Source organism: Homo sapiens, chromosome 5, assembly GCF_000001405.40.
Source record: "Homo sapiens chromosome 5, GRCh38.p14 Primary Assembly".
NCBI lineage: Eukaryota > Metazoa > Chordata > Mammalia > Primates > Hominidae > Homo > Homo sapiens.
This window is the reverse complement of record NC_000005.10, coordinates 164,118,916-164,144,888: the sequence shown is the minus strand read 5'-3', so window position 1 is coordinate 164,144,888 and position 25,973 is coordinate 164,118,916. Positions and strand designations below refer to the sequence as shown.

Genomic DNA, 25,973 nt, shown 5'->3' with positions numbered 1-25,973 from the left:
CCAGCCTTTTATAATCACTATCCTCTCTACTTCTATCAGATCAACTTTATTAGCTTCTACATAGGAGCAAAGCTCACTTATTATTAAGACAAAAACTCTGAGTGAAATAATAGTCAAGTTAATCTAGAAGCTTTTCAAAATAATTGTAAATAGGACTCAACTTTGAGCTGCTAAGATGGTTCAATATTGAAAATTGTTTATATTAAGAGTATAGGGGTATATGCTTGTCTCTACCAAAATTTAAAATAGTCTTTTATAAAATTTAACATTCATTCTAATAAAACTTACAGTAAAAATGGGAATCAGTAAGCTAAACACACAGTCACATAAAAATACACAAACTCATTTAGAAACATTCTCAGTAAAGACATTAACGAGCCAAGAATGCCCACTTCAAAATAGATGATATTTTTAGGAATTGTTATCAATATTAATTTGGCTAGAAGTAAAATGTCATAAAGGAAAATAAAAAAGAGTTATTCTTATCTTCGCAAAATTTGATCATATTCCAAAAATTACAAAAGATTCAATGGCATATTATAATAAATATAGCAATGTTTAATAAGAAATTGAGAGTGTTCTGTCTTTGCCCATGAACAGTATCATCTTACTTACTTTCTAGGAAAAAGGAAGTCTTTATCAGCTCAGCCCCTCATTGAAAGAGAGAAAGAGAAAGAGAAGGAGAGAAATATAGAATTATAACTTGGGTAGAGAGAGGCAAGTTGGAAAATTAAGATCAGTGATTTTGCAATAACTCCAAATTCTAGATGTATTTGGAGACAGAGAGTCAGAAAAACAATTACAGAAGAAAAGGGGCTTAGGGCAGAAATAGTTATGTAGAAAGTAAGGAATTTTACAGTTTGAGTACTAGAGAGAGATTTTGAGTGAGTGCTCAGGACACCTGCTCAGAGAAGCTTGCAGGTGTGACTCATTAGTAGAAGGACCTATGGCTAGGGGCATAGGCAGACCAACAGACTCAGAAAAACATGGGGACTAAATAATTTCAGAGAAACAAGAGGGTGAATATGACATCTACATGGAACGTTCCTAAGAGCTGGACAAAAATAATTTCTTTTGGACATGATAACAGATTACAAACAGTGTCCAACCATCTTTTTTATTTCCCCATTGGTGAAAAATGAGATGCATAGTGTCTGCCATCCAACTTGCTGGAAAATATAAGTGGAGTTCCTTTCTTTGGAGGCATGAATTAGGATTGTAAATAGCGTGGTGGTTAAAATTATCAGTTCTACCTTTCTTTTTTTCATTACTTTTAATTAACAAATAACAATTGTATATATTTACAGCATACAACATGATGTTTTGAAATATATATATATATATATGTAAACATCATGGAATGGCTAAATAGAGCTAATTAACATTTGTATCACCTCGCATACTAATTTGTGGCAAGAACACTTATAAGCTACTCTCAGAAATCTCTAAGTGTAAAGTACAGTGCCATGAACTCTAGTCACCACAGTGTATAATCAATCTTTCTTTTTGTGTTTTGTTTTGTTTTTGAGATAAGGTCTCATTCTTTCATTCTTTCACCCAGGCTGGAGTGCAGTGGCACAATTTCGGCTCACTGCAAACTTCATCTCCTGGGCTCAAGCAATTCTCCCACCTCAGCCTCCTGAGTATCTGCAACTACAGGCACATGCCACCACGCCAGGCTAATTTTGCCTTTTTTTTTTTTTGTAGAGATTGGGTTTCCCCATATTGCCCAGGCTAGTCTCAAAATCCTGGGCTCAAGCGATCCACCTGCCTCAGCCTCCCAAAATGCTGGGATTACGGGCGTGAGCCACTGTGCCTGGCTACAATAGATCTCTTGACCTTATTTCTCCTAACTGAAATTTTGTATCATTCGACCAATATCACCCCAATTCTTCCCACCAACACCTCTCCTAGCACCTGGTAACCACCATTCTACTCTCTGCTTCTATGTGACATACCCATTTCTAGATTACAGGATTCAAATTCTAGATTTGTTTCTGAACCTTCTGTGTCTTGGTTTCTTACCTATAAAATGTGAACAATAACAGCACCTCTTACCTAATTTTGTTGTAAGTATTCAATAATTAAAGAACACGTTTAATACAAAACTTGAATTTGTATGTACTCAATAAATACTCTTTTAATGAAATACACTATGTTAATTTTCTTGGAAAATATATATTGGTATGCCACTATACAGTGTGTCATCTCTCAATATAATATCCTTTAGCTCCAGCTTACCTTATGAACATAACATACCAGGAAAGGCATTCTTTAATACTGAACATGTACTAAATAAAGCACTTTTTAATGTTGAAAGATTCTCATATTTAGTTTTTTTTTTTTTAACTTTTTTTTATTATACTTTGACTTCTAGGGTACATGTGCACAACATGCAGTTTTGTTACATATGTATACATGTGTCATGTTGGTGTGCTGCACCCATTAACTGGTCATTTACGTTAGGTATATATCCTAAAAAACTGGCAATTATTTGTCACAGGAAAACTTTTTTTGAATTATTACATAAAATTTCACAGACAATAAAGGATAGATTGTGTTTAGTTTCATGGTGAGCAATTATCCAAAGAAAAGAAAGAAAACAGTTGTTTGATTTCAGAAGGAACTATGTTCACCACTTCACAAAACTGAGAAGATAATTTGGTTGAGGAGATAGATTTCTCATTTTAAAAAAATACTCAATTTATTTTAGTTCCTGCTGTGTCTTCCTTCAAAAGGATGATCAACTTTATACATTTCTAAAAAATTTTTGCTCCATTGAACGTACAGACATAACCTGAATACATCCTTATCATTTATTTTCAAAAGAGATGTCATGACTCCCTGCCAGGTTGCTATCTGTATTGCCCACAAGACAGTCAACCTGATGACACAGGATGAAAATGGTTTCCAGCCCTACCCATGAGTCTAACTCTGTTAACTTCACTTATTGGAGTTTATATTTTCATGTATTGGCAATTTGTCCCTTGCATTGACTTACTGCCCTATAGTGGAGATTACTGCTGTAACTACTGGTTCATTCTTCATCACCAGGCTTATAGCTCTCTCTGGCCACTCTAAGGTAATATTTAAGTACTCTGCATCACAGTACTACTTTAGCATGACTAACAATGATATATATGTTGAAAAATAAGCAAATTTTCACAAGAACTATGTGTACCAGTTATTACTAGTGGGAAATATGACCAGCTAGGTCTGGTGAAGGCAGATCATGAAGAATTATTAAAACAGTCAGAGAAGCAAGTTAGATCACTATGGACTTACTTATATTTAGCCTACTCAGGGTTTACTGTGATTTTGAATCAGAGAATTCTTGATCTTGAACAAATCTGGAAAATTATCAGCTATTATCTCATCAAATATTGCCCCTTTCTCCTTCACACTTCTTTTTGCATTCTCATTAAAATATATATATTTTTTGAGACAGGGTCTTGCTCGATTGCCCAGGCTAGAGTGCAGTGGCACAATCTCCTGTCACTGCAGCCTCCACGTCCCGCGCTCAAGTAATCCTCCCACCTCAACCCCCGAGTAGCTGGGGACTCCAGGCGCATGCCAAAGCCCAGCTAAATTTTGTATTGTTTTGTTTTGTTTGTTTTTGTAGATATGGGGTTTTACCATGTTGGCCAGGCTGGTCTCGAACTCCTGAGCTTAAGCGATCCACCCACCTCAGCCTCCCAAAGTGTTGGGATTACAGGCATGAGCCACAACACCCGGCCATTAAATTCGAATTAAACACGTTAGTACTTTTCACCCTTTGTTCCTCACTTGTATAGTTTTCATTGCCTTTTATCTCTATGTTGGACAGTTAGTTATTACTTTAGGTATTCTTTCAGTTTGCTAAACATGTCTTTAACTTTGTCTAATCTGCTATTACACCTATCCATTGCACTTATTTATTTAATCACATTTTTACACGTCTTTTTTTTTCTTAAATATGTCTGTTCTCGTTTTATAAACGTAAGTAGTGTTCATTCTCATATTCTAAATTTTACCATGTTAAGAATATTTATTTTACAGCATTCTTGTATAATTCCACTATACGATATTACACATTATACAATGTGCAATTATACAATGTGCAATTATACAATGTGTAATTCCATTATCTGAAGATCCTGGGGATCTGATACTATTGGTTTTATTTTTGGAGTTCCCAGGAGTAATCCATGGGGAGTCTGTGCAGTCTGGATAGAGACAGCATCCTTCCAAAGAGAATTTGTTTTTACTTCTGCCAAGTACCCTTACGTTTTACCAACCCAAGTCTCCTTTATGGTAATTACTAATTTAGAAGTTGTCAGGACAAAGGAAATAAATTTAAACCACACACAGCTAGCATGAGGCCATATTTGTGTTTACAAGTCTTTAGGAAATGCATTTTTCCCAACCAGAGTTCAAGCCAAAGTAGCTAAATTATCTGATCTTATTTTGGAGTTTAGCTGATTTTTTTTCTTTTCCTTTCCATGTTTTCATTAGGTTATGCTATTTAAAGCTTCTACAATTGTCCATTTTAGCTCCTATGTGGACTTCCCACCCCTCATTCACCTTTAACAATGTCCATTAAAAGAAAGCCTTTTGGTTTCTAAGATTGGAAAACACGTCCAGGTAAATCATAACTTTAGTGCAGTTAACTACTCCAGTCAAAACTTTTTTGTTTTAGGTCACTGTGGAGTTTGCTTACTGTCTTAGTCCACTAAAGCTCCTATAACAAAATACCACAAACTAGGTGACTTATAAACAACAGAAATTTATTTCTTACAGTTCTGAAAGCTGAGAAGTCCAAGATTAGGGTGCCAGCACAGTCAGGTTTTGGTGAGGGCCCTCTTCCAGCTTGTAGACTATTAACTTCTCCCTGTGTCTTCACATGGGGGAAAGGGGCAACACGGCTCTCTGAGCCCCCTTTTATAAGAGCACTAATCCCATTTATGAAGGTTGTGCTTTCATGACAAATTACTTCCCAAAAAACCATACCTGTTAATACTATCACTTTAAGGGTTAAGATTTCAACATACGAATTTAGGGGGACTCAAACATTCAGACCATAGCACTTACATTCTCACAAGCTCAACATTTGAAAGAATGTTGTTATCTTTTATCTAGGTATATTTTATCCACCTATCTTACAGTGGGAGGGTTTTCTATTTACTCGATCATACTGATAGAAATTCAAGTTAGTGTAATCAGTAACTTGACTCAGGAAGTCATGATGTTCTTAAAATGTATCATCTGGATTGAGTCTAGTTCAAACTGGTATGCTTAAGTCTCACATCCTGGTAAACTCTCAGCCCAGGACCCATACCCAGAATTAGCCACATCTGGTAGTCAGAGTTGTTGATGGCAAGTGATAGAAACTGACCAACTGTCTTAAATAACAATAAAAATAAATAATACAGAGGGATATTGGGGATTCCCAAAATCAGCCGCAGGCTGATAGCCAGTCCTAGAGGACGAAAAAGAATGAAGAAAACTGTCATGTACATCTGGTTCAATATTCAAAAATTCCCTCCAGGAGCAATGATTCAAGCCTGAATATTTTCTCTGCCTCCCAGCTGAGTCCTAGAGGTGAGCTTAACTCCCACTAAGATATAAAGGAGATTCTCTAAAACGGAGATGTGATACAGCAAAACAATACAAAATAAAAAGAAATCTTATTTCAGCAGTTGTGGCAAAACAGTTGAAAATATGTGACACTTGGAATTGATAGAGATCTTTAGATGTCTTATAATTATATATCCTTCCCCAGCAGAATTACGAATAAATCAGGTCGCTTTCATCTTATATTTGCTGAGTTTTTGTTATGCTAAGTGCATATTTTTGTATTCTTGTGACAAAATTTTCACATATTTATCTTTATTGCATTTCTGTCACTTGCAAGAAACATTTGGAATTTCAGTGGAATCATCCTTAGCATTGTTCAAGTCCATCCCCACCTTGATATATTCTATGTTCACTCAGCCCTTATTGCTTACCAGTCTTGAACAATTATATAATTTCCTACTGCTATATTTCAGCCATTATACCCCTACTCATTATGTGAACTTTTATTGATATTTAACTACAAAACTTCTTTTTTTATAAAAGAATTATTTCTTATGCAATCTGTAAACTAGAAAGGAAAGTATTGTGTTTCACGCAACAGCCCTGTAGTTAAGTACTATTATTCCTACTGTAAAGATGAGGAAACTATAGTTTAGAGAAATTAAACAAACAAACAAAACATGCCCAACTCTTACGGAGTTAGTTAAGAGCAGAGATGAGATGCAAACCCTTTATTTGACTATAAAGTTTTGTTCTGAGCAATTAGGTCATTCTGGTGTAAAGTATCAAATAATTGTTTCCAAACACTTTCCCACTATTAAGTAGATGACTGAATGCCTTCTTTATTACTTCCTAGATTATAACATCTGCTTATTCATCTTTCCAACAAATAGTAATTTTGTAACTATGTACCAGGCACTTTTCTAAGTGTTTAGAATACATGAATAAATTAAAGAAAAAAAAAATCTCTATGCCCATGTATCTTTGTAGCAGAGGTGAGATAGACAGCAAATAATAAATACAATAAATTCCAATTTTAGGTATTTCAGATGGGGTTAAATACGGTGGGAAAAGAATTTAAAATCCTTTAGGCTGAGTGGAAAATAAGAATGCTGGGGAACAGAGGTTGGAAAGAATTGTTGCACATTGTAGTCATGTGTTAGGTTGAACCATATGAAATTGTTTTTGACTTATGAAAATGGCAATTCATAGCATTCAGCCTATATAAGTGGTCAAGATAGACATCATTGAGAAGGTAAGCTTTGAGCAAACACTTGAATGGGATAAGGGCTAACCAGACAGATATTTGATGGAAAAATGATTTAGGTTCCTTCTGTGCATGACATATAAACCTTTTCTCATTTTAAAGTTCTTTTGATCTGACCATTGGCCTCCTATGATAAATATTCATCTAGTCTCAGACATCCTCTGTTACATGTCAGAATTCATCATTCTGGAAGTGTAAGGTATCCAGAAAGCCAGACATTTTTCATAATGTTGTTAGTGTCATGAGCTTTGCACGTATTTCCCCTTTTTCCAAAAATAAATTACCATAAAAAGACCTTTAGGAAACTTCAATTCTCAAGTATTTCTTCCCAGTGATTCAGAAGCAATAGATATATTTGCTTGCTTGCTTTTGGCCTATCCATCACTGCCACATAAAAAATAGTTGTAGGATCTTCAATATGTTTGGTAAACCCTGGAAGGCTCAATTATGATATAATCATCTCTTTGGGACACTACCATGTGTGCCGTAAAGTATTAACTCAATGGGCCTTAGTTACTCAAATCCTGGATCTTCCAAAGAAAGGACTGATCCTTGACCAGCTCTTGGGGATAATCTCTGAGCCCTTGGAATCTACTGCTTTACAAGAGTGTTTTAATATATAGCAGGCTTTGTATCACATCGGTTTGACCTCTGGGGGCTAGAATCTGAGTAGCCACAGTCAGTCAAGTAGGAGCTGCATGCCTACATGACTGACCCCATTAAAAACCCCAGTTCCGGCCGGGTGTGGTGGCTCATGCCTGTAATCCCAGCACTTTGGGAAAATGAGGCGGGCGGACCACTTGAAGTCAGGATTTTGAGACCAGCCTGGCTAATGAGGTGAAACCTTGTCTCTACTAAAAGCACAAAAATCAGCCGGGCGTGGTGGTGGGTGCCTGTAGTCCCAGCTACTCAGGAGGCTGAGTCAGGAGAATTGCTTGAATCTGGGAGGCGGAGGTTGCAGTGAGCCAAGATAGCGCCACTGCACTGCAGCCTGAGCGGCAGAATGAGACCATCTCAAACAAACAAACAAACAAACAAACAAACAAACACAACCACCCCCACCCCCGCCCTTCGCCTCAGGTCCCAAGGTAGAGGTGAGCTTCCCTGTAGCAGCACTTTGTACGTATTGTCTCAAATTGTTACTGGGAGAATTTAAGACTGTCTGTGCCACTCTTTGGGAGAAGACAACAGGAAGCTTGTGAGCTTCAGCTTGTGCTTGGTTTCTCCTAGACTTCACTCTAGGCATCTTTTTTCTTTTCCAGGTTTTAATTTGTATCTTTTTTACTACAATAAACTGTAACTGTGAGTATAACAGCTTTTCTGAATCCTCCTTTTGGTGAATCATTGAGCCTGAGTGGTCTAAGGGATCTCCAACACATCAACCACCACACCTTATCCCTTTTTCCTGGGACCTAGTAATCGTATGCATTATATTTCCAGGATCTGATCACCCTTTGCCTTTGAATGGAGTCCAGGAGAAGAAGTAGGCTGTCCAGCATTGTGTTCCAGAGCCCCACCCCATCCTAATTTAATATCCTTCACTTCTTCATGTCGACACACAGATTTTGATTGTTCACCTTTTCACAATCTCTCCATCCCAACCCTGGCTTTAATCATGGATTGTTCCTCCTACTTTGATTAGGAACTTTTCATTTTGGAAAATAAGCTTAGATACACAGATTTCCATATTTGTAGCAAGCACCCTAGGTGCCTGTTATATCTCCTAAAAGTTGAAAAGACAAAGTTCTCAATTACAGTCAGTTTCTTTTTGTTCTTTATTTCACTATGTTGTCCAGGCTGGTTTCAAATTCCTGGACTTAAGCAATCCTCCACCTTGGTCTCCCAAAGTGTTAAGATTTCAGGCACGAGCCACTATACCTGGCCCAAGTCAGTTTCTTTAATCAGTTACCAATCTCTAATGACCATTGACCAAAGTATTTATAAATTTCCCATCTCTTTATGTCTTTTTTTATGGTAAAAATTAACATTAAACATTCTTCTTTTCATAATCAAATATAGATATTATGTATATAAAACCTATATGTGAACTGCAGTAATGTGGAAAACATGTTCATTGCATGGAAGGTTGGATGATTCATCTAATATTATTCTATAATAGAGATCATGCATTTTTATACAAATTAATAAAAATCTTTTATTTTAGTAAAAAGGCAGAGTTTTTCAAATTTTAAATACTGGTATCAATAATCTAATGTGACAAAACTATTTTCTACAACAATGTTGCTTTTTTGGAAAGAAGACATTGGATTGGAAAACGTATAAGAACCCTAATTTATAAACAAATTTTACTTTATATCTTAATTTTTTAAGTTTCATTTTCAGTCACACATCACCCCTACAGTGACCTAACATTTTTCAATATGCAATACAATTTGCATATGCAATTTCAATGCAGTGACCTAACATTTTCAATATGCAAAAACGATGAAAAAATTAGTTAATAAAAATAAATATGTTATTATCAAACATGTTTTAAAATTTCTTCAATATGTCCTATTTCAAAAGTTGTGCTCATCTTTAGAAGGACATAGGAATCAGTGTTCAAAATGAGCAATGAATCAACTATTCCAATAAAAGCATCAGGCAAATTACTACTTATAACATAATGTTGAATAGTACCTCAAACTTATGAAATAAAATAATTCTATTAGTAGTAATCATTTTCCCATCTCTGTAAATTCTGTTTCTATAAGTAATGAACCAATCCTTAATGCTTCTGTGGAGTAACCTCTATTCACATTATTATTTGGCTGATCATCCTTTTGGGGAATATTATGTTATGTAGAACCATCACTGTAAATGAATTTGCTTAAATGTATGGTTCTAAATTAGTGGATTTGTCATCATTTTGGTTGACACAGGATTCATTTAAATATAATTGAGAAATGATTTGAATACTATATATGTATATGTACTATATATGCATATTAATACTATATATGTATATATAGTACTATAGGAATACTACATATGTATATGTACATGTACTATGTATGTATATATATGTTCAGCCATTCTGATAAGTTATCATCCATACTGCTATATTTAGCTTCTTTCTGGGAATATAGCTTTAGCAATTCAGAAATGGACTGCAAACCTCTGACTTCCAGATAGGTCACTGTCAGTTAAAAAGTGCATAGTATAAATACACCTCAGTTTATGAAAAGATATACGTTTAACTCACAGATCTCACTGAACAGTAGATATTTATAGAAAACAGGCAAAGGAAACCCAGCCATGACTAGATGCAAATATTCCAGTTTACAGTTTCTAGTATAATCTCTATTAATATCTTCCACAATGAGATCAATTTTAAGAGCATCTAATAAGAATTTACCAGTCAGCCTCGCATGCCTTGACTCTTTCGCTAGTCACACAATTGTTTGTTTATCATTGAAGGAAACTCACTTTTCTTATGAAGTGTGGTGCTTTCCTTAGGAGAGGGGTTTTAGATTTGCAGATGCTATTTATGTCATAAATGTACAAGCAAGCACAGAAACAAGCAAGAAATGACTGCCTTTTATGTTGATGTAACAGAGAATATGAATATTTGAATGGTATATGCAAGTAAGAGTTACGTAACAAGGAGAAATCTTCTATTTCATTTATTTCTGGGAGAGGGAAACACTTTCAGACATGTTACCTGAAAAGGTTTGCTTAAAGTACACATGAAAGAATGCAAGACTTTTAAAATAAAAATTTAGTTTGGGTAAAATCAGGCAGATAGAGAAAAGAGGAGAGAGTATATAAACTTAACTTCATTGACTTTCTTAAGAGAGTGATGTCATCTATACCTGTTTTATCTGCCCTTATCCTTCAAACATCAGAATTAATATTTTATTTATAAATGGAATTTACACTCAATTTACTGAGCATCTCTAATGTACCAAGACTGTGCAAAGTTCTCTTATTTTCTGCATTTACTTCATGTTTAGAATCAAAACCATTCCTGATTGTCTTAAGGTCTATAATATGATTGTTACATCTTATGCAGCACTCTTATATGTTAGTCTGGGTATCAAAGCCATCTTTATTAGAAATGGAAGTTATAATATATTTGGCTTCAAACAATGTACATCTATTAAATTTAATGAAAATATCCATAATCAAAAGTAAAATAATTTATATAAATTACATTTCTTAAAAAGTCCCAAAGGAAGCAGTGTTGCATGAAAAATGTAAATAAAGCAAAATCCTTATCTACCATTAATATGCCTGCAACTCCAGCCTTAGGTCAGACAGAAGCTGTACACTATCAAGTAAGGGAAGGATCATCAGTGTGCTAGTAAGAGTCATTCAAAAAGTTGTGGCATATCTTCTCTACCAAAGATAATTTTAATAACCATTTTTCTCTAAATAACTGATTTCCCTTTTTCAACTAAGCAGGTCATTTCCCACACCTGCTTTATAAGGGTAAAAAGAAAATTTATACAAAGATTCTAAGTGCAATTATTTTTATTAGTCAATTTCCCCCGGCTATAAAGAAATACCTGAGACTGGGTAATTTATAGAGGAGAGAGGTTTAACAGGCTCATCCTTCTGCATGCTTGTGCAGGAAGCGTAATGCTGACATCTGCTCAGCTTCTTAGGAGGTCTCAGCAAAACTCACAATCATGGCAAAAGGCAAGATATGGAGCAGCATTTCACATGGCCAGAGAAGGAGCAAGGTGGGGTGAGGGTACACACTTTTAAATAACCAGATTTCACTGTCACAAGAACAGCACCAAAGGGATGGTGCTAAACCATTCGTGAGAACTCTGCCTCCGTGATTCAATCACCTAGCATCAGGCCTCATCTCCAACACTGGGGATTACAATTTGACATGAAATTTGGGCAGGGACACATATAAAAACTGTATTATTCTTCCCCAGCCCCTCCTGAATCTCATGTCCTTCTCATATTGCAAAATACAATTATGCCTCCCAAACAGTCCCCAAAAGTCTTAACTTATTCCAGTATTAACTCTAAAGTCCAAAGTCTCATCTGAGAAAAAGCCAGTCCCTTCTGCTTATGAAACTATAAAATAAAAAAAAAAAGTTAATTGTTTCCAAGATACAATGGGGGTACAGGCATTAGGTAAATACTCCCTTTCCAAAAGAAAGACATTGGTCAAAAGAAAGAGGTTGCAGGCCCTATGCCAGTGTAAAACCCAGCAGGCTTGTCACTGAATTTTAAAGGCCCAAAGAGTCTCCTATGACTCCATGTCTCACTCACATGCAGAGCACATGGTGGGCTCCCAAAGCCACTCTGTAGCTTTCCAAGGCTTATCCCCCTCACACTGAGTGCGAGCGGCCTGGGGCTTTTCCAGGAATAAGGTACAAGATGTTGGTAGATCTACTATTCTAGGATCTGGAGGATGGTGGCCCTCTTCTCACAGCTCCACTAGGCAGTACCCAGTGGGGACCCTGTGTGGGGACATCAATACCACATTTCCTTTCTGTGCTGCCCTAGCAGAGGATCTCCATAAGGGCTCCACCCCTGCAGCAGGCTTCTGCCTGGACATCCAGACTTTTCCATACATTCTCTAAAATCTGGGTGTAGACTCCCAAGCCTCAATTCTTACATTCTGTGAACCTGCAAGCTTAATACCATATGGAAGCTGCCAAAGCTTATGGCTTGTACCCTCTGAAGCAGTGGCCCAGGTTATACCTGGGCTCCTTTGAGCCAACGCTAGAGCTGGAGCAGCTGGGACCCAGTGAGCAGTGTCCTGGAGCTGTGCATGAAAGTGTGGCGCTGGGCTTGGCCCATGAAACCATTCTTCCCTCCTAGGCTTCTGGGCCTGTTATAGGAGGGCCTGCACAAAGGTCTCTGAATGCCTTTGAGGCCTTTTCACCATTGTCTTGGATAGTAGCACTTGGATCCTTTTTTCTTATGCAAATTTCTGCATCCTACTTGGATTCCTCCCCTGAAAATGGGCTTTTGTTTTCTACCACATGGCCAGGCTGCAAATTTTTCAAACTTTTACACTCTGATTACTTTTTAAATATAAGTTTGCATTTTATGTCATTTCTTTGCTCAGACATATGAATGTATGCAGTTAGAAGCATCTGGGCATCTCTTGAGTGCTTTCATGCTTAGAAATTTCTTTTGCCAGATACCCTAAATCTCCACTCTGAAGTTCAAAGTTCCAGAGATCCCCAGAACAGGGGCACAATGCAGCCAGACTCTTTGCCAAAACAGAGTAAAAGTGACCTTTACTCCAGTTACCAATAAGTTCTTTACTTCCATCTGAGACCTCCTCAGCCTGGACTTCATTGACCATATTACCATAAGCATTTTAGTCATACCAATTCAATAAGTCTCTAGGAAGTTCCAAATCTCCCTTCATCTTCCTGTCTTCTTCTAAGCCCTCCACATTACTTCAATCTCTGCCTGTTACCCAGTTCCAGAGTTGCTTCCACATTTTCAGGTATCTTTATAGCAATGCCCCATTCCTCAGTACCAATTTTCAGTATTAATTTGTTTTTATACTGCTATAAAGAAATACCTGAGACTGAGTAATTTATATATTTAAAAAAGGTTTAAGTGACTCATGGTTTTGCAGGCTGTACAAAAAGCATGATGCTGGCATCTGCTCAGCTTCTGGGGAGGCCTCAGGAAGACTTACAATCATGATGAGGGCAAAAGAGGGAGAAGAACTTTACACAGTTGGAGAAGGAGCAAGAAAGAGAGGGGCGAGGTGCTACACACTTTTAAACAAACAGATCTTGTGAGAACTCATTCACTACCATGAGAACAGGATCAAAGGGACGGTGCTAAATCATTCATGAGAACTCCACCCCCATGATCCAATTATCTCCCACCAGGCCCCACTGCCAACACTGGGGATTATAGTTCAACATGAGATTTGAAGATTTGGGCAGGACACATATCCAAACCACATCATTACTCATCTCTGGTAAAACTGTATTTTGTAGATAAGTGAATCCATAATCTTTTTTACTATTTGATGGGGACCATAGGAGGAGGTCAAAGGCAGCAAAAAGACACTCTAAGATCATGCAGTTCCAAATAACATTAAAGAAAATAAGTTACAGGGAAGCTAAACATCTAGTGGCTTATGCCTATAATCCCAACACTTTGGGAGTCTGAGGTGGGCAGATCACTTGAGCTCAGCAGTTCAAGACCAGCCCAGGCAAAGTAGTGAGACCTTGTCTCTACAAAAATATAAAAATTAGCCAGGCATGGTGATGCATGCCTGCAGACCTAGCTATTCAGGAAGCTGTGTTGGGAGGATTGCTTGAGCCTTGGAGGTCATGGCTGCAGTGAGCATTGTTCACACCACTGCATTCCAGCCTGGGTGAAAAAGTAAGACTCTGTCTCAAAAAAAAAAAAAAAAAAAAAGGAAAAATAAAAAAGAAAAAGAGACTAGTGGGATTTTATTATCTACAAATTTAAAACATACAAATATGTATGTACATACACACACATTGAAAACAAATATATATATAAATATACAAACATATGTTTTAAATTTGTAGATAATAAAATCCCACTATTCTTTTTCTTTTTTCTTTTCTTTTTTTTTTTTTTTTTTTTTTTTTTTTTTGAGACAGGGTCTATATATGTATTTGTATTGCCAGAAATGACAAGTAGTCTCACTCTAGGGTGTATCACATAGGAGAAAGTAATGAGGTAAAAGCAAATTGATATATTTTGTAGTTGAAAAATTAAAAGGGGGGATGAAGGAGGGAGGGAGGGAAGAAGGAAGGAAGAGAAGAGGGAAAATAAAAGAAGAGAAAACCCTTTCCTTAAATGGTATGGGACCAGTAGAAAAGGCTAATTTAAGGATAAGCAAGAGGACAAAAAGCCTAATGGGAAAAGTTTGGTTTGTTACAAAGTCTACACCTAAGACCTGAGAATGTCTGGTGTTGGAAAATATACATATTCCTCATATATCGCTAAGTCCAGGTCCTGTGCTGGTCTCTGAGAATATAGCAGGCAAAAAAAAAAAAAAAAGCAAAAATTCCCCAATGCTCCTGTCCTCAGGGAGTTTAAATCCAAGTCAAGGGGAAAGATCATAAACACAAACTATGATATAATATCTCACTTGGGAATAAATACTATCAGGGAAAAACAGTAAGAGAATAAGGACTAATTGGGAGGAAAGAAGGTATCCATCAGGATAGGACATGAGCAGAGACCTGAACAAAAGGAGCAAGCAAGTCCTGGGGCCAGCTGGAGGCAGGGTGATCCAGACACGGGGAACAGCCAATGCAAGAAGGGAGGCAATGATGCTCCTTATGTGTGGAAAGGACATGACAGAGCCTGATGTGGCTGTAGAATGAGTCAGGAATAGGAAAGGAAGTCAAAAGAGGTTGAAAGTGGAGCAGGCTGCAGACTGCACAGAGTTTATGGAGGGCTTTGGATTTAACTGCAAGGTGGGAAGCCATTAGACTGTTTTGAGCGAAGGAGTGACATGTTATGACACGTGCTTTAGAAAGATCTTCCCGCCTGCTGCAAATAAACTGGACTATGGAGTGACAAGGGTGGAAGCAGGAGAACAGTTAGGAGGGTTTCGTATGTATATTTCTCTGTGTGTAACTACTGGTACTACTTTCCAGATAAAAAAGGGGATTAGTGATACTTCATTTACCAAAGTGATTCCAGGCGGATCATGTCATGTTAACATTTTAAAGGTGTTATTTTATTGTAAAAACACGTTTAAAAAAGTTTAAGGCAAAAAATCATCTACAATAAAATCGCCTAATCAAATAAATGTTTTTGTCAATCTTTCTCCCAACCATTTCATGTATTTATGTCAATTACCATATATGCAGTAATTTTGTAGATAGAATTACATAATCTATACTTTTACCTTCACATTTAACATTTCATCACGTGTATCTTCCTACTCTAAGTGTTTGGTTTTCCTAGCTCTCTATATTTCTTATTTTCTAACTGCTTTCCTCTTCCTCCAAATAACCACATGATATTTCCATATCTTTCTTGATACATAAACATTTCCTCTTTGAAATATTCTACTCTCTAAAAATGTTGTTTTGCCTTCATAAAATATGTGTGATTCTTTCTGACACCCGTAATTTTACTTGCTAGAGGTCTAAGGTTTTAATGAATTAATTCTTGATTTTAAAAAATGTATCCGAACTATTTTTAGAATAAACAAAAGTATGTAGATATTTAGTCATATTTCTGAAGGCAAATCTGTTTAAATATGGTATTTCTTTTCTTTCTTTTTTTTTTTTTTTTGGCACATTTGCTGTCTGGGTCATGAACTCCCATTCTCTTTCCTCCTTCAAACTCTCCCTGCAGCTCATTTCAAAGGGGAATGGTGTGTTTGTAAATACATTTGCTATTTAAAATGTATTCCAAGAATGGTTTTAGTGAAGCTTATTACTAGAATTGCATTTGCATTACTAAGTAATAAGTATTTACTCGAAGTACTGTTTGTGCATGGCCATCTGGTTTAATAACACATCCAAGGTTGAGACAGCTCCCCAGGGCTCCACAACTCACTGAGATCTTTGAGAGGGCACAACTACATCAGCAGACCCAGAATTTAAAAACACACAGCTTTTAAACTGCTCATTGGCCCTGAATGCAGTTTTCTTCCTTTGGAAATTATGATAACAGAGTGTTAAAAGTGTAGGGTCCAAGACATTTTATTTAGTCTTCAGTCCCAATAATCAATATTTGGGGGAGAACATTGATGCTGTGATATTTTAAACATTTCATTTTCCTAACTATATTCTAACTATATTAAACAAAGAAAAACTGTGCTGGTAGAAATAAGTATTTTGTTACAATTTTACAGGACATAATTATTGGGGGCAGTAGAAGGACTTAATCCATTTTAGTGGTATTCAGTTACAAAAGATATCAATCACTATTTGCAAAAGAAATAATTCAGTTAAATAAGTCTCTTCCAAAAATGTTCTCTTCCTCTGAAATATTTTAGAAATTGATATGGCTTGACTCTGTGTCCCTACCCAAATCTCATTTTGAATGTTACTCCCATAACTCCCATATATTGTGGGAGTTAATTTGAATTAACTCCCACAATAATTTGAATCATTGGGTAGTTCCCCCTATACTGTTCTCTTGGTAGTGAATAAGTCTCATGAGATCTGATGGTTTTCTCAAGCATTTTTGCTTTTGCATCTTCCTTGTTTTCTCTTGCCACCACCAAGTAAGAAGTGCCTTTCACCTGTTGTCATGATTCTGAGGCCTCCCCAGACATGTGGAACTGTAAGTCCAGTTAAACCTCTTTTTCTTCACAGTTTCAGGTATCTCTTTATCAGCAGTGTGAAAACAGACAAATATAGGAAACTGGTACCAGGAGTGGGGTGTTGCTGAAAAGATGCCTGAAAATGTGGAATCAACTTTGGAACTGCGTAACAAGCAGAGGTTGGAACAGTTTGGAAGGCTTAGAAAAAGACAGGAAAATGTGGGAAAGTTTGGAACCTCCTAGGGACTGAACGGCTTTGACAAAAATGCTGATAGTGATATGAACAATAAGGTCCAGGCTGAGGTGGTCTCAGATGGAGATGAGGAACTTATCGGGAACTGGAGCAAAGGTGACTCTTGTTTTACAGAGATTGGTGGCATTTTGCCCCTGCCCTAGAGATTTGTGGAACTTTGAACTTAGAGAGATGATTTAGGGTATCTGGCAGAAGAAATTTCTAAGCAGCAAGGCATTTAAAAGGTGACTTTGGGTGCTGTTAAAAGTATTCCATTTTAAAAGGGAAATATAGAGTGTGAAAGTTCAGAAAATCTGCAGGCTGACAATGCAGTAGAAAAGAAAAACCCATTTTTCGAGGAGTAATTCAAGCCACCTACAGAAATTTGCATAAGTAGCAAGGAGCCTAATTTTAATCCCCAAGACAATGGGGAAAGTGTCTCCATGGCTTGTCAGAGACCTTCACAGCAGCCCCTCCCATCACAGGCGTGGAGACCCAGAAGGAAAAGGTGGATTCAAGGGGCAGGCCCAGGGTCCCCATGCTATGTGCAGCCTAGGGACTTGGTGCCCTGTGTCCCAGCTACTCCAGCCATGACTGAAAGGGGCCAACATAAAGCTCTGGCTGTGGCTTCAGAGGGTGGAAGTTCCAAGCCTTGGCAGCTTCAATGTGGTGTTGGGCCTGTGGGTGCACAGAAATCAAGAATTGAGGTTTGGGAACCTCTACCTAGATTTCAGAAGATGTGTGGAAATGCCTGGATGCCCAGGCAAAAGTTTGCTGCAGGGGTAGGGTTCTCATAGAGAACCTCTGCTAGGGCAGTGCAAAAGGGAAATGTGGGGTTGGAGCCTCCACACAGAGTCCCTACTGGGGTACCGCCTAGTGGAGCTGTGAGAAGAGGACCACTGTCCTCCTGACCCCAGAATGGTAGATCCACCAACAGCTTGCACTGTGCACCTGGAAAAGTTGCAGACACTCAACGTCAGACTGTGAAAGCAGCCAGGAGGGGGGCTATACCCTGCAAAGCCACAGGGGTGGAACTGTCCAAGACTGTGGGTAACTACCTCTTGCATCAGGATGACCTGGATGTGAGACATGAAGTCAAAGGAGATCATTTTGGAGATTTAAAATTTGACTGCTCTGCTGCATTTTGGACTTTCATGGGGCCTGTAACACCTTTGTTTTGGCCAATTCATCCCATTTGGAACAGCCGTATTTACCCAATACCTGTACGATCATTGTATCTAGGAAGTAACTAGCTTGCTTTTGATTTTACAGGCTCATAGGTGGAAGGGACTTGCCTTCTCTCAGATGAGACTTTGGACTATGGACTTTTGGGGTAATGCTGAAATGAGTTAAGACTTTGGGGGACTGTTGGGAATGCATGATTGGTTTTGAAATGTGAGGACATGAGATTTGGAGGGGTCAGGGGTGGAATGATATGGTTTGGCTCTGTGCCCCCACCCAGATCTCATCTTGAATTTTATTCCCATAACTCCCATGTATTATAGGACGGGCCCATTGGGAGATCATTTGAATCATGAGGGTGGTTTCGCCCATACTGTTCTCATGGTAGTGAATAAGTCTCATGAGATCTGATGATTTTATCAAGGGATTTTGCTTTTGCATCTTCCTCATTTTCTCTTGTGGCAAAAGAAGTGCCTTTCGTCTCCCACCATGATTCTGAGGCCTCCCCAGCCATGTGGAATTGTGAGTCCAATTAAACCTCTTTTTCTTCCCAGTCTCAGGTATGTCTTTATCAGCTGTGTGAAAATGGACTAATACAGAAATATAATCTGCAGGTTTTATATTATTTTCTATTGCTTTTTGGGAAACTAAAAAAAACTCTATATAAGGTTCCAAATTGATTATACATTTATATATGAATAAATACATGAATATGTATATATGTGATGTGTATACATATATATATGCATGCACACCTATTTTTTCTAAGAACATTCCAGAACAAATAGTTTGTGTTTAACAGTTTATTCTTGATACCCACTACTAATATTCTCCAGATAAACCCATAAGCAAGTATTTGGAACAATAGATAGTCAACAAAATATTTTTCATTACATTATCCTATTACTGAAAGTTTGTTCATTTCATTTCTTCTGATAAAAAAAATAAATGCGCAAATATATAATGTCAGTCAGCCTCCCTCTGAGATCTTTATAAAGACTTTACTTTTTGCTTCAAGTACATGACTAAGTAGTGCCCTCTGTCCTTAGTATATATAATACACTAAAAGACCTGAATTCAATCCTTTAATCATAAATGCTCAAAGAAAACAGGCTGTTCTGTGTTCTCTAGATACGTTATCAGCTGTACCTTGAAAAATGACTTTCTATTTTAGAAAGTGAATTTCCAAGAAGAATTATCATGAACAGAAGATCTAGCTGAGAGAAGCTCTCACCCAGTAGAACCTGAATAAATTAATTCCCTGGTTACAAAGATCCTTGATTCCTCTTCACATTTGACTTACATATTTAACCAGAAACAAAGAAACAATTTATAGCCAAACCAAGTATTTCTATAAATCCTTCAAAGAATTAAGACTGAAATCTAAACTTATCCAGCCCATTTACATCACAAAAAGCAGGCTCATAACTCATGATTTTTCAACACCAAGCAATGCTTAATAAAATTCTAATTAGACATCTAAAGGTTCATCATGCTACACTGACCAGAGAAAAATTTGGGGGGTATTAAGCAATTTTTTTAATACCTGGTTTCTCTCATGAGTTTTAGGAATATTATATGAATTATTGTTACTATACTCAGGAAAAACCACCATAGTTAGATGTCCTGTTTAGGAACTTGAGTTATTTAAAAATATTTGTCAAATATAAATTTTAGTTTCTATTTTCTGTCAACTACAGTAGGCAAAAGAATGTTTTCAGAAGACTAGTCTGAGACCCTAGTAAACAAACATTTCTAACATTTGTGCTATTTTGGCTCTGGCTAGATAAAATTAAAGTAGACTATTACTGGTCTATTTCAGGATTAGGGAACAGAAGCAGAGGTTAAATAGAAAAGAAAAATTGCAGGAATGCAATGAAATCAGTTAAGCAGTGTGAAATTGCCACTTCCCAATAGGTTCTCATTGATGGAGAAATGTGTTCAGGCTTACACTTATTAGCAGAAGCTTTTCTTTTTGTCACAAGTTAAATTGTTTCCTATACATAACCAAAACAAAACAAAAAAAAACCCAACTAGGAAGATGGACGTGGTGTTTCCTATCATATAAAACTTTATCCCATAAGCTAATATGTCTGTTCCACTGATATAATTAGTTTAGGTAGACATTCTTCTTAATTTTATCAGATTAAATAAAGCCTGATAAATCTGTCAGAGCTTAATTTTTAATATTCTGAATGTTTATGCCCTTTACCCCAAATTTATGTGTTAAATCCTAACTCCAAATGTGCTGCGATTTGCAGCTGGGGACTTTAGGAGGTGATTAGACCTCGTCCTAGAGGGACGAGCTCTCATAAATGGAATTATTGCCTTTAAAAAGAGATCTCACGGAGCTCCCTTTTTTATTTCTGCCATGTGAGGACATCTATGAACCTGAAGCAGGCCCTCACCAAACACTGATTTTGCCAGGGCTTTGATCTTGGACTTCCCAACCTCTGAAACTGAGAAATAAATTTCAGTAGTTTATAAGTCACCCAGTCTATGTTATTTTTGTTAAAGCAGCTCAAATGAACTAAGACAAAGAGCTATTTTGAAGGGTAATGCCTAGGAAAATATTTTCACCATTATACATAATTAGTTCCCTTGCAGCTTCTGCAAAATAGCAAACTATAGAACAACTTAATCACACTGAAAAAAATTCTTATCTTGCCCCTCAGCTTTCAACCTGGCTCTTCTTGTTCAACTGTTGATATTTTAGTCATTCCCAAGCAAAACCTATTTAGTTAAAAAATCTTTTGCTGTGAAGAAGCTCTTTAGTCTAAATAGATCCCATTTGTCAATTTTGGCTTTGGTTGCCATTGCTTTTGGTGTTTTAGACATAAAGTTGTTGCCCGTGCCTATGTCCTGAATGGTATAGCCTAGGTTTTCCTCTAGAATTTTTATGGTTTTAGGTCTTACGTTTAAGTCTTTAATCCATCATGAGTTAATTTTCGTATAACATGTAAGGAAGGGGTCCAGTTTCAGTTTTCTGCATATGGCTAGCCAGTTTTCCCAACACCATTTATTAAATAGGAAATCCTTTCCCCATTGCTTGTTTTTGTCACGTTTGTCAAAGATCAGATGGTTATAGATGTGTGGTGTTATATCTGAGGCCTCTGTTCTGTTCCTTTGGTCTATGTATCTGTTTTGGTACCAGTACCATGCTGTTTAGGTTACTGTAAACTCGCAGTATAGTTTGAAGTCAGGTAGCATGATGCCTCCAGCTTTGTTCTTTTTGCTTAGGATTGTCTTGGCTATGCGGGCTCTTTTTTGGTTCCATATGAAGTTAAAGTAGTTTTCTCCAATTCTGTGAAAAAAGTCAATGGTAGCTTGATGGGGATAGCATTGAATCTATAAATTATTTTGGGCAGTATGTCCATTTTCACGATATTGATTCTTCCTATCCATGAGCATGGAATGTTTTTCCATTTGTTTGTGCCCTCTCTTATTTCCTCGAGCAGTGGTTTGTAGTTCTCCTTGAAGAGGTCCTTCACATTGCTTGTAAGTTGTACTCCTAGGTATTTTATTCTCTTTGTAGCAATTGTGAATGGGAGTTCACTTGTGATTTGGCTCTCTGTCTGTTCTAGATGCATAGGAATGCTTGTGATTTTTGCACATTGATTTTGTATCCTGAGACTTTGCTGAAGTTGCTTATCAGCTTAAAGGGAGTTTTTGGGCTGAGACGGTGGGGTTTTATGATATACAATCATGTCATCTGCAAACAGAGACAATTTGACTTCCTCTTTTCCTATTTGAATACTCTTTATTTCTTTCTCTTGCCTGATTGCCCCAGCCAGAACTTCCAATACTATGTTGAATAGGAGTGGTAGAGTGATGTGACAGGGCATCCTTGTCTTGTGCTGGTTTTCTAAGGGAATGCTTCCAGTTTTTGCCCATTCAGTATGACATTGACTGTGGGTTTGTCATAAATAGCTCTTATCATTTGAGATACGTTCCATCAATATCTAGTTTATTGAGAGTTTTTAGCATGAAGCGGTGTCTAATTTTCTTGAAGGCCTTTTCTGCATCTATTAAGATAAATGTAGTTGTTTTCATTGGTTCTGTTTATGTGATGGATTACATTTATTGATTTGCCTATGTTGAACCAGCCTTGATCCCAGGGATGAAGCTGATTTGATCATGGTGGATAAGCTTTTTGAGGTGCTACTGGATTTGGTTTGCCAGTATTTTATTTAGGATTTTCGCATCGACGTCCATCAGGAATACTGGCCTGAAAATTTCTTTTTTTGTTGTGTCTCTGCCAGGTTTTGGTATCAGGATGATGCTGGCCTCATAAGATGATTTAGGGAGGATTCCCTCTTTTTCTATTGTTTGGAATAGTTTCAGAAGGAATGGTACCAACTCCTCTTTGTACCTCTGGTAGAATTCAGCTATGAATCTGTCTGGTCCTGGACTTTTCTTGGTAGGTAGGCTATTAACTACTGCCTCAATTTCAGAATTTGTTAGGCAACCTACAGAACGGGAGAAAAATTTTGCAATCTATCCATCTGACAAGAGGCTAATATCCAGAATATACAAAGAACTTAAACAAATTTACAAGAAAAAAACAAACAACCCCCTCAAAAACTGGGCAAAGGATATGAACCGGCACTTCTCAAAAGAACACACTTATGCAGCCAACAAATATATGAAAAAAGCTCATCATCACTTGTCATTAGAGAAATGCCAATCAAAACCACAATGAGATACCATTACATGCCAGTTAGAATGGCGATCATTAAAAAGTCAGGAAACAACAGATGCTGGAGAGGATGTGGAGAAATAGAACACTTTTACACTGTTGGTGGGAGTATAAATTAGTTCAAACATTGTGGAAGACAGTGTGGGGATTCCTCAAGGATATAGAACCAGAAATACCAGTTGACCCAGCAATCCCATTACTAGGTATGTACCCAAGGAATATAAATCATTCTACTATAAAGACACATGCTCACGTATGTTTATTGTGGCAGTATTCGCAATAGCAAAGACTTGGAACCAACCCAAACGTTCATCAATGATAGACTGAATAAAGAAAATGTGGCACATATATACCATGGAATACTGTGCAGCCATAAAAAAGAATGAGTTCATGTCCTTTGCAGGGACATGGATGACTCTGGAAACCATCATTCTCAGCAAACTAACAAAGGAACATAAAACCAAACACCACATGTTCTCACTCATAAGTGGGAGTTGAACACTGAGCACACATGCACACAGTGAGGGGAACATCACACATTGGGGCCTGTTGTGGGGAAGGGAGCTAGGGGAGGGATAGCATTAGGAGAAATACCTAATGTAGGTGATGGATAGATGGATGCAGCAAACCACCATGGCCCGTGTATACCTATGTAACAAAACTACATGTTCTACACTTGTACCCCAGAATTTAAAGTATAATAAAAATAAATAAAATCAAATGATTTTTATATATTCCCGATTATTCTAAATATACAACAGAATTTTAGTCAAAGGTGGTAATACATTATTTATAGTCCTTTATATTGATTTCTTTAAAATTTAAATATTTGTTCTAAAAATGTAAACGTATGCTTTAAAATAATTTCATAAGTATGAAAACATGGGTTGCTCCTCTTCAATTTGAAATTACTCTTATGTTGATTCATATTTGTAAGACTGTAATTTTCATTATTATTTATTTTTTCCTGCTGGTGTTCTGAAAGGTATATGAATGGGAAGCAGCTAATATATCTCTATCAAGAACATGTTTTGGAAGTTAGACAGATTCAGAAAAGTATCATAGAAATTTTTTAAAGACCATTAACTATGCTCATTTCTGCCATTTCAAGTTCTGTGGCCCCAATTCAGTTATTTAAGCTCTTTGTGACTTTGTTTCTCAATTTTAAAATGTGTGTAATAATAGTATCTGGTTCACAGGTGCTATGGACTGAATTGCGTTCCTCCAAAATTGGTATGTTGATTCTCCAAACCCCAATAAGATAGTGTTTGGAGATGGAGCTTTTGGGAGTTACTTAAGGTTAGATGAGGTCATGAGGGTAGTAACCTCATGATGAAATTAGTTCCCTTATAAGAAGGTACATAAGAAAACTCTCTCTTTCCCTCTCCATTTCTCTTTCTCTACCTCTCCTCCCTACCTCATTCACACAACAAGGAAAAGCCATGTGAACACACATCTACCACGCAGGAACAGAGCCCTCCCCAGAATCTGACCATACTGGCACGATGATCTCGGGCTTCCAGACTTCAGAAGTGATCGAAAATAAATTTCTGTTGGTTAAGCACCTTGTCTATGATATTTTGTTACTGAGACAGCCAAATGCCTAGGCAGATAAAAAGGGGTCCCCAGAGAATCTCCTACTCGCCCCTCAAATGTTTACATCAGAGGCTTTTGTGCAAACGAGGGAACCTGCCCAGGACTTGTCTGGGCATGCCCACAGCAAACTGGAGCCAGACTTGTGGGCTGGGGGAAGTGGGTGGAGCCACAGGGAATTTATGCCATTTGCAGGGGAGGAACCTGCTCTCCAGCTCCTATAGTGACCTGGGAATCAATCTGTGAGGTGGGAGGCCTGTCAGCAAGACTCAATTTCGCTCTCCTGAGCTTTTTTTCTTCCTTTCCCCTGCTTTTTGCCCAATAAAATCCTGCTCTATTCACCCTTCAACGTGTCTGCATGCCTAAATCTTCCTAGTCATGTGACAAGATCCTAGTTTTAGCTGAACAAAGGAGCAAAATTCTGCAACATTATGGCAGAATCCATGGCAGCATGGATTGTTCCTACATATATTTATATTGTAACTATATATGTATATATATGTATAAATATAAACTGAGTCAGTTGTCATAAAATGCTTAGAACAGCCTGGCACATATATGTTTTAACAAGTATTATTATTATTATTTTTGAGACAGAATCTCGCTGTTGTTGCCCAGGCTGGAGTGCAGTGGCACCATCTCAGCTCACTGCAACCTCTGCCTCCTGGGTTCAAGCAGGTCTCCTGCCTCAGCCTCCCTAGTAGCTGGGATTACAGGTGCACATCACCACGCTCGGCTAATTTTTCTATTTTTAGGAGAGACGGGGTTTCGCCACGTAGGCCTGGATGGTGTTTTAACAATTATTATTTGGCATCTAGACGAATATTATAAAATCTGAGAACATCAAGATTCATCTGTACTTTTCTCTTACAGTTGCCAGCAACTGGTTTCCCCAAGAGTTATCTAAGGCCATCAAAGTGGCTTTTCCTGTGTGTGACAATGGACACATAATTAGCCACACACCCAGATCTCCCAACTCTCAACACGTCATTTTAGAAAGCAGCATTCAAGGTGCAATTTTAAAGTTAAAATATTAAAATACTAACAAACTGTATTTCTATTGCGCTCATTTCATTCTTCTAATAAAATGTGTCTAGTTATTTTCATTATAACCATCATGCAAGGGCAAAGTCCTTTATAAATAAATATACACAAATATATGCACATATATAAAAATGTATATTCATAATACACACACACACACACACACACACACACACACACACACACACAC

General features: G+C 37.3%; 6 annotated features.

Annotated features, from left to right (window-relative positions):
• Nucleotides 12,006-12,350: a silencer, noted in NCBI's record as "fragment chr5:163559545-163559889 (GRCh37/hg19 assembly coordinates)". NCBI's record gives its function as "represses an EF-1alpha promoter that drives an FKBP-Casp9 reporter gene in an ReSE screen in HepG2 liver carcinoma cells {active_cell/tissue: HepG2}" and the evidence as "EXISTENCE:reporter gene assay evidence [ECO:0000049][PMID:32094911]".
• Nucleotides 24,328-24,828: an enhancer, noted in NCBI's record as "H3K27ac hESC enhancer chr5:163547067-163547567 (GRCh37/hg19 assembly coordinates)". NCBI's record gives its function as "activates a minimal SCP1, AML or CMV promoter by ChIP-STARR-seq in primed H9 embryonic stem cells {active_cell/tissue: H9 hESC(primed)}" and the evidence as "EXISTENCE:reporter gene assay evidence [ECO:0000049][PMID:30033119]".
• Nucleotides 24,328-25,581: a biological region, named in NCBI's record as "MED14-independent group 3 enhancer GRCh37_chr5:163546314-163547513".
• Nucleotides 24,382-25,581: an enhancer, noted in NCBI's record as "MED14-independent group 3 enhancer chr5:163546314-163547513 (GRCh37/hg19 assembly coordinates)". NCBI's record gives its function as "activates an origin of replication core promoter dependent on BRD2, BRD4, P300/CBP and CDK7 cofactors, and independent of MED14, by STARR-seq in HCT116 cells {active_cell/tissue: HCT116}" and the evidence as "EXISTENCE:reporter gene assay evidence [ECO:0000049][PMID:35650434]".
• Nucleotides 24,673-25,002: an enhancer, noted in NCBI's record as "active region_23584". NCBI's record gives its function as "activates an Ori minimal core promoter by ATAC-STARR-seq in GM12878 lymphoblastoid cells {active_cell/tissue: GM12878}" and the evidence as "EXISTENCE:reporter gene assay evidence [ECO:0000049][PMID:35858748]".
• Nucleotides 24,829-25,329: an enhancer, noted in NCBI's record as "H3K27ac hESC enhancer chr5:163546566-163547066 (GRCh37/hg19 assembly coordinates)". NCBI's record gives its function as "activates a minimal SCP1, AML or CMV promoter by ChIP-STARR-seq in primed H9 embryonic stem cells {active_cell/tissue: H9 hESC(primed)}" and the evidence as "EXISTENCE:reporter gene assay evidence [ECO:0000049][PMID:30033119]".